Source organism: Homo sapiens, chromosome 11 (genome assembly GCF_000001405.40).
Source record: "Homo sapiens chromosome 11, GRCh38.p14 Primary Assembly".
In the NCBI taxonomy this organism is placed as follows: domain Eukaryota; kingdom Metazoa; phylum Chordata; class Mammalia; order Primates; family Hominidae; genus Homo; species Homo sapiens.
In genome coordinates this window covers 117969927-117986172 of record NC_000011.10, presented here as the reverse complement: position 1 = coordinate 117986172, position 16246 = coordinate 117969927, and the positions used below count along the sequence as shown (strand labels likewise).

Genomic DNA, 16246 nt, shown 5'->3' with positions numbered 1-16246 from the left:
TAGCCCGGCCGGCCGTGGGTACGTGTGTGTGGGTGTGTGCGCGCGCGCGTGTGTGCATGTGCTGGGAAGCAGGTGGCCAGGCACAGCCTCGGCCCTGAGTGCGGAAGGTGGGGTGAGGGCGTCCGAGCCGCTTTTGCCTGGCGTGCCGGCTTGGCGTTAAGGATGTGGCCGCGGCCGCTCCGAATGGGGAGGAGGTAGTTGCAGGCCCTTGAGGGCAAAGGCGCCAGGACGCCGGTGTGAGTCTTGGCGTTGCCCCAGGGCCTCCCCGTCTGGGGGTCTGAGGACACCGATGGATGAATACTGAGTAGTCCCCTACCTAATTGTTGGAGGGGGGTCCACAACTAAGCAGTTTATGCAGACCTGCCCCCAAAGTCCCAGGAAGCTGAGAGACCCAAGAAAGAGGCTTTTAACCAGCAGCTCAGCAGCTGAGCCTCAAACCGCGATTTTTAAAATTTTTTTATCTATTTTTTTTTTTTACAGTCTCGCTCTGTCGCCCAAGCTGGAATGCAGTGGCGTGATCTCGGATCACTGCAACCTTCGTCTCCCAGGTTCAAGCGATTCTCCTGCCTCAGCCTTCCGAGTAGCTGGCATTACAGGCATGTGCCACCACGCCTGGGCTAATTTTTGTATTTTTAGTAGAGACGGGGTTTCACCATGTTGGCCAGGCTGGTCTCGAACTCCTGACCTCAGGTGATCCACCCGCCTCAGCCTCCCAAAGTGCTGGGATTACAGGGGTGAGCCACCGCGCCCAGCCTTAAACCGTGTTTTAAACTTAGTTTCTCTTCTTTCCTTTTTTCTCTTCCTCCTCTGGGCCTCAAGATATAATTTTGAGACAAACTGCATGTATGTTACCTCTCATCTTAAAACACAGCCTCAGGACGTGCTGTGACCTCCACTCCCTTTCCTGTCCCATACTGTACTCCCATGCCTTACGCACGTTTATTTACCTACGTGCTTGTTAAGCACACGCTATGCTCTTACCTGGTCATATATTTCCTTAGATGCCTCAGGAGCTGCGTCCTGATAGGGACCAGGCACCTCCGGAATTCTCTCTCCAACAAAAGCTTACTTCAGGAGTTGAACATATACCCTGCTGAAGAGTAACTAATTTATAACCTGGCAGGATCCACGATTGCACCAGCCCCTCCACCAAATAAGACGATAATTAAAGAGGACCACTGGAGCAAGTCACACCACCTGGTACCTCCTAACCTCCCCCTTGCCTTTTCTGCATTTCAGATCCTTTCTTAAAAAACCCCTGCGTTCCCCCCATGAATTGAAGAGTGGAATTGTTTGCTGCTCTTCCCCTGCTAGCATGGCAGCTAGCAGATTTTCCTTTATTATCCATTCTTTCTACAAGCAGAGAGCAGCCAGATCCTTTTGCAGGTTACAGGCTGACACATCCAGTTTCTTCGAAAAAAACATTTAATAAGGACTTATAAACAGAAGCTACGTTTGTGTCTCCATGATTCACCCCCAGGACCAGGGCTTATAGACCACAGGGGAAGGGTGATTCAGAAAAGATGTGTAGGACAGTTGAAGTATGATAACATCAAGGTTGTTTGACCTAAGGGCCGGATTTACAGTAAGTGTTTGCACTTACACAAGGAGCAATTGATAAATTGGGAATCTCAGAGGTCTTCTGGGAGGCTCCAAAGCCAACACGGCCAAAACTGTGGATTAGCATCCAACATGGAGTTGCTTTAGCCTCCATAAGGACTTCTCCCAGTCTCTTCTGGGTTTCCCTTGCTTGCTTGAAATCTGATATTCAGACCAATTTTTGTGTTGGGTAATAGCACTACTGGAGTGCTGGGTAACACCTCAGCACATCCTCAGTCTCTCGCACCTCTGTGTCACTTGGCTCATCTGAGGCCATCTCCAGGTGAACCAAATATGTGAGGATATGAGAGACAGACTGTCCATCACTTTTTCTTGGAGGCTGACACCTGCTTCAAAGTGTGTGTGTGTGTGTGTGTGTGTGTGTGTGTGTGTGTGTGCACTTGCAGTCATATATGATTTGCAGTGGCCAGTCTGTGGATTTGGATTTCATTGTGGTGTGGAGAACGTTGTCTGTTTGCCAAGTGCATATGTGTGTTTGGGACTGTGTGTGCATCCCTCAAGCCCTGCCCTTGTTCTCAGACAAACCAAAGAAGAGGGGCTCAGGACATTTCTGGCCAGCAAGGCCCCACTCCAGGCCTGCTGCCCCACCCACCCGGCCATACCCCGCCCTGCCTGTATTGTAGTTTGTACCTTCATTTGTTCCTGAGCTCTTGTCCTGTGTTCAAGAAGAATGAGAATTCGCTGACAGTTGAAGGGTGAGGATGGGCAGAGAATAATTTTATTGAGTGATGGACCAGCTCTCAGCAGAGAGGGGATGGGGAGGGGGGTGGTTCCCCGCTCCCACAGTTGGGTGTTTTTTTTTCTCAGTGTGGCTGGATCCAGGGCTTTTTCTGGACTCAGAATAGGGAGTGCATGCCGATTGGTTTGTGAGTATGCAAAAAAGGTTAAAGTGAAAATACCACTCAAAGGTGGGTACGACAGTGTAGAAAACCAATTAGGAAAGGGTAGGTGTATGTAAAGTAGGTGAAGGGTGGGGATCAATCAGAGGAAAGCGTGCCAAATGGGAAGACAGGTTCTCAATCTGGTCTGAAGATTTAACTTGCAGCTTGGCTTTCAGGTTTTAAGTTGTCTTCAACTTGGAGGTGGGGTTTCACCAGGGACCCGCCCTATCTGCCTAGGCATTTGACTGCCTCCTGTAACTATCACCTGCTCCTGGGAGGTTTCCCTGGCAGTGCCCAATGCCCACATGGAGGGCCTTATTTACTGCAGCTTTTGAGAAAGGGCCCCTAACTTAGGTGTGTGACACCAGCACTGTGCGTGGTCTAGGAGTTAGTGAGGCATTATCCCCATGGTTTGTGGAGATATAAACCCTATTTCAATATTTTCAGAGCGGAAATCTCTCTGCCCAGTGGCCTGGACTGAAAGTGTGCCAGGTTGGCTGGGGGTGGGAGTTGGGAGATCCCATCCTGTATCTAAGAGTCTACATTGGGACTAGAAAGACCTCACTCTTGACGATAGTCAGCGAAGGCAGGGGTGCCTCAGCTACATGGATGGGGGAGAGTGATATCTGCAGGCCTACCAGGACACATCATCAGCCTGGGCCACCCTCAGGAGACAGCTCTTGTTGCCACACCCCCAGATGAGTGGAGAGGGCAAGCCCCAGGCTTTTTTAATGTGTGAAGATTTTTTTTATACTCTCTGTTGCTCAAGTGAGGAATTAAGATGGTAAATTGCTCAGGAGTACCCTGTCATGACCCAAGGGGTGTAGCTGCCTTCTGAAACAACTACTTAGTTACCCCGACCTTTTAAAAGAGAAAGACACTGTGATGTTTCTTCCAGAACTTTTTTTTTTTTTTTTTGAGACAGAGTCTTGCTCTGTCACCCAGGCTGGAGTGCAGTGGCCCGATCTTGGCTCACTGCAAGCTCTGCCTTCCGGGTTCATGCCATTCTGCTGCCTCACCTCCCGAGTAGCTGGGACTACAGGCATCCGCCACCACGCCCGGCTAATTTTTTGTATTTTTTTAGTAGAGACGGGGTTTTACCGTGTTAGCCAGGATGGTCTCAATCTCCTGACCTCGTGATATGGCCGCATCGGCCTCCCAAAGTGCTGGGATTACAGGGGTGAGCCACCGCGCCCGGCAATTTTTTTTTTTTTTTTTTTTTTTTAAGACAGCGTCTCTCTCTGTTGCCCAGGCTGGAGTGCAGCGGCACAATCTCGGCTCACTGCAACCTCCATCTCTCAGGTTCAAGTGATTCTCATGTCTTAGCCTTCCAAGTAGCTGGGATTACAGGCACCCACCACCACGCCTGGCGAAATTTTTGTATTTTTAGGTAGATACGGGGTTTCACCATGTTGGCCAGGCTGGTCTCAAACTCCTGACTTCAAGTGATCCATCTGCCTCAGCCTCCCAAAGTGCTGGGATTACAGGCGTGAGCCAACGCACCTGGCCAGTTCCTGACCTTGTCTTTACTTTTATTTTTTGTTGACGTATAAGAGTCTTACGCGTTACCATTTTGAAGGAGGATCAAAATTTTTAATTCGTTCATATGACAATATTTACTGCACACTCGTTGTGGGCCAGATGCTATAATGATGCTAGGAATAAAATGGTGATCAAAACTAAGTCCCTTTCCCCAAGAAGCAATCTGGGCAGAGGCAGAAAGTGAACAGAGATTTTAATACACAGTGGTAAGTGCTCTGGGAAGGCAAGTACAGGCTGACTGGACAAAAGACAGAGGCACTAAACCACACTTGGGATAGAAGATAAGGAAAACTTCCTGAAGGAGGTGACATCTAAGTTGAGACTTGAGGGAGGAATAGGAGGTAGCTAATGAAGAGTGGATAGGGAGGGTATTCCAGACAGAAGGAAGTGTTTACTTGGAGATTAGGGAATATGGCATTTTTTAAGAACCCTGGAAAGTGGGTAAACTGGCACTCTTGTTTTAAGATGAGAAAACCACAGTGGCTAACATAGGTTAATACCTAGCTCAGGGCAGAGCCAGGATTTGAATGCAGGCTATTCCAATGTATCCTGCTGCCTCATGGAGAGCACCCAGAATAGGAGTTACGTCAGGCATGTGATTACTATACTTGAAAAGGAAGAAAAAGAAACACGGAATCCACATGTTTATTTTGTTTTGTTTTCAGTGTTCTGAAAAGTCCACCCTAAAGTTCTGTGTATTCTGGTATTCACACCAGTAGAGAGACATATGATAGGAGGCAATCATTAAAGGATCTTCTCTTTTTAAATTTTTTCTTAATTTTTATTTATTTATTTATTTATTGAGACAAGGTTTCACTCTGTCACCCAGGCTGGAGTGCAGTGGCTTGATCTTGGCTCACTGCAGCCTCTACTTCCCAGGCTCAAGTGATCCTCCCACCTCAGCCTCCTGAGTAGCTGGGACTACAGGTGCAGGCCACCATGCCCAGGTAATTTATTTTATTTTATTTTTTTTGGTAGAGATGACATTTCACCATGTTGCCCAGGCTGGTTTGGAACTCCTAGGCTCAAACGATCCTCCTGCCTTAGCCTCCCAAAGTGCTAGGATTACAGGCGTGAGCCACCACACCTGGCCATATCTTCTATTAATATTTATTGAGTTTTTATGACCTATCGGGCACTATGTGAAATACTTCACATGTTGTGGCAGAGAATGGCCAGATGCTTAGTAATACCAGTTCCTCTTCCTGGGCACATGGGGCAACTATATTTCCCAGTCCCCCTTGCAGTTAAGTAGAATATGTGGCTGGCTTTTAAGCACTGTAAAGTTGAGTTGATGGGTGCCACTTCCAGGCCTGGCTGCTAACTCTGTCTTTGCTATTCTGCCAGCCATCTGGAGGTGTCCAGTGGAGGACTCCAAGGGAATAGAGGGAGCTTGGGCCCCTGAATCACCTCTTGGAGGGCAGCTGTGCAGAAAAGACACCCAGTTTGCATCAGCCTATTGATTGGGTGAGGAGTAAACCCTCTCAAGCCACTGAGATTTTGTGAAGTTTTTTTCATAGCAGCTAGTGTTAACTACCCTGAATAATCTGCAAACCTTATTTCATTTAATCCTTATAAACACTCAGTGAGATAAGCATCATTATCAGTGTTTTACAGATGGGAAAATGAGGTGAGAGACTGAGTCACTTGCCCATGTCATTCACTCAGTACGTAGCAGAGCTAGAAGCCTGTTCAACTGGTCTGTTTGACTCCAGAGCTCATGCTTTTACTACCATGTGAACAGTGCCCTTCTGAATCTTGGAAGAATTCTTGCAAGAGACAAATGTCAAGTGATTGAGAGAAAGAGAGAACGGGGTTGGAGAAAAAGACAAGGGGGAGGGCAAGAGAGGAGGAACAGCTGAGGGCTGAGAGTCTTGTAGATGGTAGAGGGACGTGGCTAGCCCAGGGAACCAGGGAACCTGCTGCGTGAACATCTGGCCCCTAGGGTTACCCTGGGAAATTTTGAGGGCAGATTTTGGGCTCTGGGTGGTTCCATTGTCTCATTTTCATTTGACTTTATCTTGGTGCTCAGGATGATGCTGTTAAATGGGCATGCCTGGGGAGTCGGATGGGCATCTGAGTTGGCAGGAAGTCTGTGCTTGAGTGTGCTAACAAGCGTAACTTGCAGTTTCTGTCCCTCAACTGGTGAGTAGGGAAGTTCCAGGACTTGTGATCACTGTGTCAGAGCTGCACATAACAAGGAGAGAGACACAGAGGGAACTGACCGTAAGAAGGAGACACAGAGAAGGAAACTGTGTGGGTAGGAAACTTGGTAGTTGTTGGGTCCAGGAGAATTGCAGATGCACAGTGAGGGGCTCGCCCAGCCCCAGCAACGGCCCTGGGAGAAGTCTCCAGTTGCCAAACCTAATGAGTGTCCACATCCCTTCACCTTCTCCCTGGCTCCCCCCTGGAGGAGCACCAAAGAGCTCAGAAGGGACAAAACCCCATTCTCAACATTCCTCTCGACTCTGTGTGGTGGCTCAGGCTTGAATGGGGAGTTCCTAGAACTTTAGCTGGGTGGGTGAAAGGCATCAGTGAAGGGTTTTAGGCAGGAGAGGGATATGGCAGATTTGCATTTTAAATAGAAGAGGAAATCTAGAGCATGAAGGTGAGTAGCCAGGGTAACTCACTAGTTAGTGACAGAATTAAAACTTTGGTCTCCAGATCGAAGCTCAACTCTCTGGCTCTCAAACCATAGCAGCTAAGTTTGTGGAACTGTGAAGACTGCGTGAGGTTGTCATGCCCATCAGTTTAGGGGGAAGGGGAAGAAGTACTGATCTCCCAGGTGAAGGAATGCCCATGCTAATTACTTTAAATCAGCAGAGCTGGGGCTAAGAGCCTTCTCATTCCTATAATCTGCCTGGGACACTGTTCTTGGTCATTGCCTTAGGTGGGAGGAGCCTGGTTACCTCAAAACCAACAGACCTACTTCTAGCCCCAGCTTGGTCACTACCAGTCGTGCACCCTGGAACCGGTCCCTTTGGCTCTATTAGCTGTTGGCAAGATTGGAATCTGGGCTGTTGTAAAGCCAGACACAAAGTGTTCTGGTAACTGATAATGGCTTCTCAAGTGAGAGTGAGAGGTGACAGCCTGCTGGCAGTCCTCAGAGCCCTCGCTTGCTCTCGGCACCTCCCCTGCCTGGGCTCCCACTTTGGCGGCATTTGAGGAGCCCTTCAGCCCCCCCACTGCACTGTGGGAGCCCCTTTCTGGGTTGGCCAAGGCTGGAGCCCACTCCCTCAGCTTGCAGGGAGGTGTGGAGGGAGAGGCTCCAGCGGCAACCGGGGCTGCGTGCGGCGCTTGCGGGCCAGCTGGAGTTCCGGGTGGGCGTGGGCTTGGCGGGCCCCGCACTCGGAACAGCCAGCCAGCCCTGCTGGCCCCGGGCAATGAGGGACTTAGCACCCGGGCCAGTGGCTGCGGAGGGTGTACTGGGTCCCCCAGCAGTGCCGGCCCACCGGCGCTGTGCTCGATTTCTTGCCGGGCCTTAGCTGCCTTCCCGCGGGGCAGGGCTCGGGACCTGCAGCCCGCCATGCCTGAGCCACCCACCCACTCCATGGGCTCCTCTGAGGCCCGAGCCTCCCCGTGGAGCACCACCCCCTGCTCCAAGGCGCCCAGTCCCATCGACCACCCAAGGGCTGAGGAATGCGAGCGCACGGCGCAGGACTGGCAGGCAGCTCCACCTGAAGCCCCGGTGCGGGATCCATTAGGTGAAGCCAGCTGGGCTCCTGAGTCTGGTGGGGACGCGGAGAGTCTTTATGTTTAGCTCAAGGTTTGTAAACACACCAATCAGCACCCCTGTGTTTAGCTCAAGGTTTGTGAGTGCACCAATCGACACTCTGTATCTAGCTGCTCTGGTGGGGCCTTGGAGAACCTTTGTGTCCATACTCTGTATCTAACTAATCTGATGGGGACGTGAAGAACATTTGTATCTAGCTCAGGGATTGTAAATTTACCAATCAGCACCCTGTCAAAACAGGCCACTTGGCTCTACCCATCAGCAGGATGTGGGTGGGGCCAGATAAGAGAATAAAAGCAGGCTGCCCGAGCCAGCGTTGGCAACCCGCTCGGGTCCCCTTCCACCCTGTGGAAGCTTTGTTCTTTCGCTCTTTGCAATAAGTCTTGCTACTGCTGACTCTTTGGGTCCGCGCTGCTTTTATGAGCTGTAACACCGCGAAGATCTGCAGCTTCACTCCTGAGCCCAGTGAGACCACAAGCCCACCAGGAGGAACGAACAACTCCAGATGCGCTGCCTTAAGAGCTGTAACACTCTCCGCAAAGCTCTGCAGCTTCACTCCTGAGCCAGCGAGACCACGAACCCATCAGAAGGAAGAAACTCCGAACACATCTGAGCATCAAAAGGGACAGACTCCAGACGCGCCACCTTAAAAGCTGTAACACTCACCGCGAGGGTCCGCAGCTTCATTCTTGAAGTCAGTGAGACCAAGAACCCACCAATTCCGGACACAAGAGGGAGTGAGGTCTGTAGAAACATTCAGCAAAAAGCACGCTGACTAGAGGGATCTAGCCCCTTTCTTTCATGGCCTGGATGTGTTTGGCCTCACTCTGGGTTGTATGTTGTGCTGAGGCCCACCACACCATCTTGGGACAACTGGGCCTTTGGTTGTACTTGGGACACCTCCCTCCCCCAGAATTATTTTAAGAAAATCACCTCGTCAGGAAGGCTGTGGACCTGGTCCATGAACTTAGTCCATTGTCATTGCTTTGTGAACTTGGGATGCAAGAAGTGAAGAACAGAACATTGACAGAAATATCTCGTGTCATTTCAAGACACAGTCGTGTCTTCCTTCTGCAGCCCAGATGGCCTTGACTTCTCCAGTTTTTAAGGGTGTCATTTCCCCTTAATTCTAAAATAACAACAGTTTGAACTCCCATCCCACAAATGCAGGAAGTCCATCTGCTCTTGGGTTTCCAATCCCAGAGCCATCCTAGAGGGCTTGCACCTCACCTCTGAGCGTCTCACGGTGGTGGCCTCTGAGCTGCAGCTGTTTGTTTGAAGTACGGACACAGGCCCAGCATCTTTGAAAAAATGCTATTGGAAGCTCTCAAATAACAAAAGTACCAAAGAGATAGTCTGTTACAACTGCTCAAAGCAGTAGTTTCAGAGCACCCACCAGTTCAGCTGCATTTTGCAAACCCTCCTTAAGCTTCTGGCAATGTTGGTGGCAGGGAGAGGCCAGTGAACTTCTTGCCTTTGGAAGTCTCTAGGCCTCTCTGAACACCCTCCTTGCCCATAAAGAGAGCAGAGGCCTTCCTCTTCCTGCCCAAAGACCACCTTGTTTTGTTTTGTTTTTAACTTTTTGCCTCAAGATGATTCACAGCAAGAACATCAATATCTTTCAAGAGAAATTCCTAGACCTATCCTGAAGGTACAACCTGGCTCCAATGGCTCACATAGGGCTAGTTGCCTTAAGCCTGCCTTGGCCTTAAATAACCCTGCAGGTGGGCCAGCAGCCGTGTGGCCCAGATAATGACAAATCAGGCCCAATCCAGGGCCTTACCTCGGTCATTCCTGCCCGGAAGGGAAGAGACTTGGTCTGCCTGCTCTTCCTGCGGTTGTCTGGGCTCCTGCCCTGCAGTGAACAATGACTGGACAAAGGATAATGATTTTCAGCCATGGGACAGCCTAAATTGAGACTTTGGGAAACAAATTCTGTAATTCCTCAGGGGCATGGTTCTGCTAAGGAGATACTCCACTGACATTGCTAAATGAAACCAGTAACACTTCAGTCTGAGGACTCTGTCTCGGACCCATCACAGATGTCTAGGATGTCTTCCAGAACAATGGGTATGCATGTACTTTATATTGACAAGACTAAGAAGGTTCACCCAATACAGGGAGACTCCCATGTGAAGACAAATCCTAATCACTCCTCTGTCATGCAGAAATGTCTTGTAAATCCTTGAATTACAGCTCCTTTGCTTCAAGGATTTAAAGCTCTATATTCTCCCCTGTCTCTGGCAGCAGCCCGAGTGCTCAATGGGAAGACCTAAGCCTGAGGTTCAAGCCCCAGGTCTGTCAGTTGCCATCCGTGACTTTGGGTAAGTCATGAATTCCCCAGGTCTCGGATTTCTTAGCTAAAAAACGAGGATAATACCACTTCTTCCAACCTGTCAGGGTTGTTGAGAGGATGAATGCAAGCAAACATTTGTTAAGTACACTTGCCTAGGCATGGTAGGATCCAAAAATTAGTAAGACACTGGCCTTATCAGACTCATGCGCTTTTAGGGTGTTTAGACTTCAATAGGTAACTTCATTATGATATGAGAAGAAACAGCTTAGATCTAAAGTGTTCTGTAAACTCTAAAGTGTTATATACTTGTGGATATTAGTACTGCTGTCATTTTTCCTATAAATTGGGTTTCCTTTCTGTTCACTGCTGGGCCAAACATGTCTTGAGCAGCTCACAGTGGGAAGCCTCTTCTCCCTGTCCCCCAGGCTCCAGGGGGTCTCCCTGCCCCCCATGGAACCCTAGAATCCTTTCAGGGGGCTCCTGTCATCTACCTACATGTTTCCATTCCACCACTCTTCCCAGGACACACTGGAAGTACAGTCTTTCCTCTTTCACATAATTAATGACAAATGTAAGAAATGGTGGGCTGGGCGTGGTGGCTCACGCCTGTAACCCCAGCACTTTGGGAGACCGAGGCAGGCAAATCACGAGGTCAGGAGATGGAGACCATCCTGGCTAATATAGTGAAATCCCATCTCTACCAAAAATACAAAAAAAAATAATTAGCTAGGCGTGGTGGCGTGCACCTGTAGTCTCAGCTATTTGGGAGGCTGAGGCAGGAGAATGGCGTGAACCCGGGAGGCGGAGCTTGCAGTGAGCTGAGATCGCGCCACTGCACTCCAGCCTGGGCGACAGAGCGAGACTCTCTGTCTCAAAAAAAAAAAAAAAAAAAATAGAAATGGTGGCCAGGTGCCTGGCTCACGCCTGTAATCCCAGCACTTTGGGAGGCTGAGGCAGGTGGAGCACGAGGTCAGGAGATCAAGACCATCCTGGCTAACACAATGAAACCCCGTCTCTACTAAAAATACAAAAAATTAGCCGGGCGTGGTGGTGGGCACCTGTAGTCCCAGTTATTCGGGAGGCTGAGGAAGGAGAATGGTGTGAACCCGGGAGGCAGAGCTTGCAGTGAGCGGAGATCGCTCCACTGCACTCCAGCCTGGGTGACAGAGCGAGACTCCGTCTCAAAAAAAAAAAAAAGAAAAGAAAAGAAATGGTAACTGGAGGCCAGCCAGGGATGACAAATGGTGAGCATGTACAAGTGCCCAGCAGAGGATGTGTGGGAGTGGGGCATGAAAAGAGAAGCTCTGCAGTCCTAAGGAGTTGTGAAGTTTTATAATTTATAAGAAAACGAAAGTCAGAGAGGAAGAGCTATCTCAAGAGCATAGCGGGTTCATACCTCGCCCCCACATTCATTCTGTGGCGATCTGACCTTTTGGGACAGAAGAACAAGACAGGTGATGTTCTTCTCACCTCCTTTTCCAAACTCTTTTAAACAGGCCAACATTTGGGTGATATTGGTGGGGGAGGTCCTGCTGGTATCTCTGATAGTCCGCAGCCAACCCCCTTTCTGTCTTCACTAACCTGTCCCTCTGTCCTACCCCAGCCTCTCTTTTCAGGACACCCCAAAATTCCAGTGGAAAATTACCAGGACCATGAAAAAAATTAGCATTTCTTCTGAGCATTCTTTGAGTTCTTGTATATGGTGAGGTCATCTTCACATTTTTAAAAATTTTAAACTAGCCAGGTGCGGTGGCTCACACCTGTGATCCCACTTTGGGAGGCCAAGGCGGGTGGATCATATGAGGTCAGGAGTTCAAGACCAGCCTGACCAACATCGTGAAACCCCGTATCTACTAATTACAAAAAAAAAAAAAATTAGCTGGGCATGGTGGCACATGCCTGTAATCGCAGCTACTTAAGAGGCTGAGGCAGGAGAATTGCTTGAACCCAGGAGGCGGAGATTGTAGTGAGCTGAGATTGCGCCATTGCACTCCAGCCTGGGCAACGAGTGAAACTCTGTCTCAAAAAAAATTTTTTTTAACTTTAATTAATAAATGTGTTCAAAACCCATACAAGTTATTTAAGTAAATACGTATTCAGAAATATACACAGTTTTGATCAACACTTGGTGCACAGTATGAAGTTTCAAAGAGGTGACTCATGTTTATTGTTGCACATTGTAGAAATAAATTCTCAGCCTAATGTTGGAAAGCTGAAGTAAATAGATGCTGAGATTCATGAAATTCTGGTAAGCAGTCACTACGTGTGTCTATACGTATACATTAACAGAAGGGTTTCCTTGTGATTACTGGGTGCTCACCCATCCACTGGTCCCAGGAGAGGCCTCCTGTCCACCCACAAAGCGAGATACTTATGGCGGTTGGTCACAGCCTCTTGCTATTACACCACTTTCTTAAGCCCCAGACTCAAGATTACTTCCCCCTCTCCACTCAATTCTTCTCCCTAGGCCAACTGTGGTCACCACATACTAAAGCATAAGTCAGTTGCACAGTTCTTCTGAGATCCCAATTTGGTGACAAAGTTCATAACTGCCACACCTTCTTCTTGGGTCAGTAGCTCAAATCTGCAAACATTCATTGAGTAGTCCCTGTGTCAGGCACTGTGCTAAGCACCTGGGGACAAAAACAGAAAGGATACTATGTTTGTCTTGGAGGATGTTTAGTTAGAAAGAGTGGGGGAAAGGAAATCTAAGGTTTATTGTTGTGCTGGGCAATTTGCTACTATGTACTTCCTCTGATTCTATGTGAGATAGGTCTTCTCTTCCCACTTTACAGAGGAGGAAACTGAGTCTTAGAAAGGTTATATGCTTTTCCCAAGGTAACTCCATAAGTGGTACAGCTGGCTTGTAAGCCCAGGTCTGACTCTAACTATTCCTGTTGACTGCTCCTGCCAGCCCCACGCACACCAGCCACAGACAAAAAGCAGTAAGTGGGACAATTCCAGCAGTAGGTCCAGTTGGAAGGCTGCCAGGGAAAGAACCAACTTTGGGGACTACTGGCAGGTGTTTGGGTGCTGCCAATTCCCCCTGTGGGAGGCTCACAGCCCAAGGCAGCCAGGGGTGGGGTCTGTGGGAATGAAAATTACTAGAAAGTGTAAGAAATGCCTTGACAGGGTTTGCATTTGGCACAGAGGATCTGCAGAAGACGTGGCTGGGCTGGTGGCTTCTGAAGCAGAGACTTTATCATCCCGCTCCCATCTGCTCACCCCAGCGCCTCCATCTTCCTGGAGAAATGCCCTCTGAGAGTGTTTATTCTTCAATAGCTGTTGATTTCCTGCCACATACCAGGCTTCATTCGAGGCAGACAAAGCAAACAAAACTCCTGCCACATGGAGTGTTCATTGCAGCAGGAGGAGACGGACACCAAGAGTCAATACATGAGAGAAATGTGTAGCATGTCAGACAGTGATACGCGCCACCGAGAACAATAAAGTAAGAAAGGGGTTTAGGGAGTAGGGAGGGAGGGCTGCCTTTTTGTTTTCCTTTTTTCCTTTTCCCTCCCCCACCTCCATTTTTTTTCCTTTTTTTCTTTAGGTTTTTATAGAGACAGGGTCTCCCTATGTTGCCCGAACTGGTCTTGAACTCCTGAGCTCAAGCGATCCACCTGCCTCAGCCTCCCAAAATGTTGAGATTACAGGCGTGAGCCACTGCGCCTGGCCTCCACCTCCATTTTAAATAGAGTGGGCAGCAGGCCTCCCCCAGTAGGTGACATTAGAATGAGGACCCAAGGGATGTGAGGAATGAACCGTGTGGATATCTGAACGAAGGGTGTTGTGGGCAAAGGGAACAGCAAGTGCCAGGCCTCCAGGTAAGGGCGTGCCCGGCCGGTGTGGGAGGGGTTGGCGCCCAGTGAGTGAGGCCCACCTAAGTGAGGGATGGCTCCTTCATGGGGCTCATGGCTACTGGCTGACAGACAGAGAGACAGACAGGGAACTCGAGAACTCTCAGCCTCCCCCACTTGTGGAGAACATTCCCTGGAGGAGAGTCGAGAGAGGCATGGACATAGGGCTCTTCTTCCTGCAGCTTCTGAGTAAATTATGATCCCCCTGCACACTCGGGCTTTAGCCCTCCTTACACTCACCCTCTCCTCTCTTTCTTCTTGATCCCCTTTTCTTTTTTCCTTTTAAAATTATTTCAGATTATTCTAGATTATTCCATCCCCCATAAATCTGACGTGCTTAGACACGGAGAAGGCAGGAGGGTTTTGGGGGTCAGGGTGAGGAGGGTTTTGGAGGTCAGGTGTATTTGTTTCCCAAGGCTATATCAAATTATCACACACTGGGTGGCTTAAGATGACGGAATGAATTCTCTCCTGGTTCTGGAGGGTCTGAAATCAGTTTCATTGGGCTGCAATCAAGGTACTGGCAGGGCTGGAATTTTCTAGGAAGGAATGTGTTCCTTGCCTCTTTTGGCTCCTGGTGGCTAGCCTTCGTGTGTGCGTGTGTGTGTGTGTGAGAGTGAAATCTTTCCCTGCCTCTTTTTTATACCAAAAATTTCTTAAGAGCTCCAATGCAATTGCATTTAGGGCTCACTTTGATCATCTAGGATAACCTCCCCATCTCAAGACCCAATATACAAAGACACTGTTCCCATATAAAGTAACACTCACAGGTTCAAGGGATTAGGTCTGGATATCTTTTGGGGGCCATTTTCATCCTACCACAGAGAGTGTTCCAGTTTCAACATTCATCTCTATATTCATTCAGTCATTCCCTATTCGACACAGGGTCACTGGCTATTTCCTCAGTGCAAGGCAGTGTGCAGGATGCTGGGAATACACGGTGAGCAAAGGAGAGCCCCCCAGGAGCTTGCGGTTTAGAAGGAGAGATGGATGTGAATCAAATAGTCACTCAAATAAAACGCAGAGTTGCGACTGTGGTAAGTGCCATGAGAGCCTGTATTTGGGGTTTTACCTGGTAAGGAGGCCAAGAAAGCTTCCAGGAGGAAGTACCCTTAAATCTGCATGAGTTGGGGTAACCTTCCCTTCAAAGAGGGAAGGAAGAGACTTCCAGGTGGAGGGGACAGATGGCAGAACGGAGGTATGGCTGGCTCTGGCAGGTTGTGCAGGGCTTGGGGTGGCCTGGGGTGGCGGGTGGGGTTTCAAAGATTGTGTGGAGACTATTGTGGTGTGCCTCCTCCCCACCCTCTACCCCAGTCCTCACCCTTGGCTACTGCTCTGTATCCAGGGCCTCTTCCTCCTATTCCTGACTCAGGCCCATCCCTCCACTTCCTGCTCAGTGTGGCTTGTGGTTTAATAAGGAAACTCCCCAGGCTCAGTGTTGGGGCAGACCGCTAAGCTTCAGTCAACAAAAACTTCTTATGAGCCTACCGTGTGGCACACATTGTGTTGGGAATGAGAAGGAATAGGATGAGGAAACAACATTATTCTGGTCCTTGGGGCAAGAGGCTGTATGGTGGAGGGGAAAACAGAGAGGGTTAAGTGCTGAATAGTCTGTTGACTTGGGTTGAATCTCACTTCTGCTACTTACTGGCTGTGTAATATTGGAAGAGTGACTTCACCTGTCTGTGCCTCAGTCAGCAAACATTTATCAGCTAATTCCAGTCAACAGACATTTAGTGTGCACCCACTGTGTGCTAGGCAGTGGGCCATATGCTGGCAACCCGCAGAGACATGTCTGAGTGGGAATAGAACTCTGAGGTTGGCTGTTTCCTTGCACAGGCCACCAGATGATTTCTGTATGGGGACCCCAGCCAGGCAAGCTCTCTAGGAGATGGCAGTCAGAGAGTGGGGACACAGTCCTGGGAGTGTGCAGCTATTTGGCCTTCTTTGTGCCTTCTCTTCCCCCCTTCTGCAGAATACTCAACACTGCTTATGGAGAACCTTCCTTGGTTAACACTAGACATTCTCATCTTCCTAAGTGCTCCAGCTTTGGGAAGAATGTGCTGTTTTGACCAACAGTTTCATGTGCATCTTTGTTGATCGGCCACTATTATTAGGTGCCTCTACTTGATGTTTTTTAATGGGAATGGCTCCAGTCTTTTCCACTGAGCCATTCCATATAAAGTCCAAGATGGAGTTGGACAGCATGTTCACTTACTGGACCATGCTTGGCAAATCACTTGACCTCTCTAAGCCTCCATTTCTATGATAAAGTGAGGGTATGAATCCCTGCCCTGCATCCTCCTAAGGCTTT

The 16246-nt window shown here is 49.1% G+C and overlaps 4 annotated features.

Moving 5' to 3' along the window:
- Positions 2-101: a silencer, noted in NCBI's record as "silent region_3940". NCBI's record gives its function as "represses an Ori minimal core promoter by ATAC-STARR-seq in GM12878 lymphoblastoid cells {active_cell/tissue: GM12878}" and the evidence as "EXISTENCE:reporter gene assay evidence [ECO:0000049][PMID:35858748]".
- Positions 292-351: an enhancer, noted in NCBI's record as "active region_5579". NCBI's record gives its function as "activates an Ori minimal core promoter by ATAC-STARR-seq in GM12878 lymphoblastoid cells {active_cell/tissue: GM12878}" and the evidence as "EXISTENCE:reporter gene assay evidence [ECO:0000049][PMID:35858748]".
- Positions 8675-8844: an enhancer, noted in NCBI's record as "experimental_19132 CRE fragment used in MPRA reporter constructs". NCBI's record gives its function as "activates a minimal promoter by MPRAs in K562 erythroleukemia cells, with activity observed for the non-introgressed 11:117848129 variant allele {active_cell/tissue: K562}" and the evidence as "EXISTENCE:reporter gene assay evidence [ECO:0000049][PMID:34662402]".
- Positions 12941-13355: a silencer, noted in NCBI's record as "fragment chr11:117843533-117843947 (GRCh37/hg19 assembly coordinates)". NCBI's record gives its function as "represses an EF-1alpha promoter that drives an FKBP-Casp9 reporter gene in an ReSE screen in HepG2 liver carcinoma cells {active_cell/tissue: HepG2}" and the evidence as "EXISTENCE:reporter gene assay evidence [ECO:0000049][PMID:32094911]".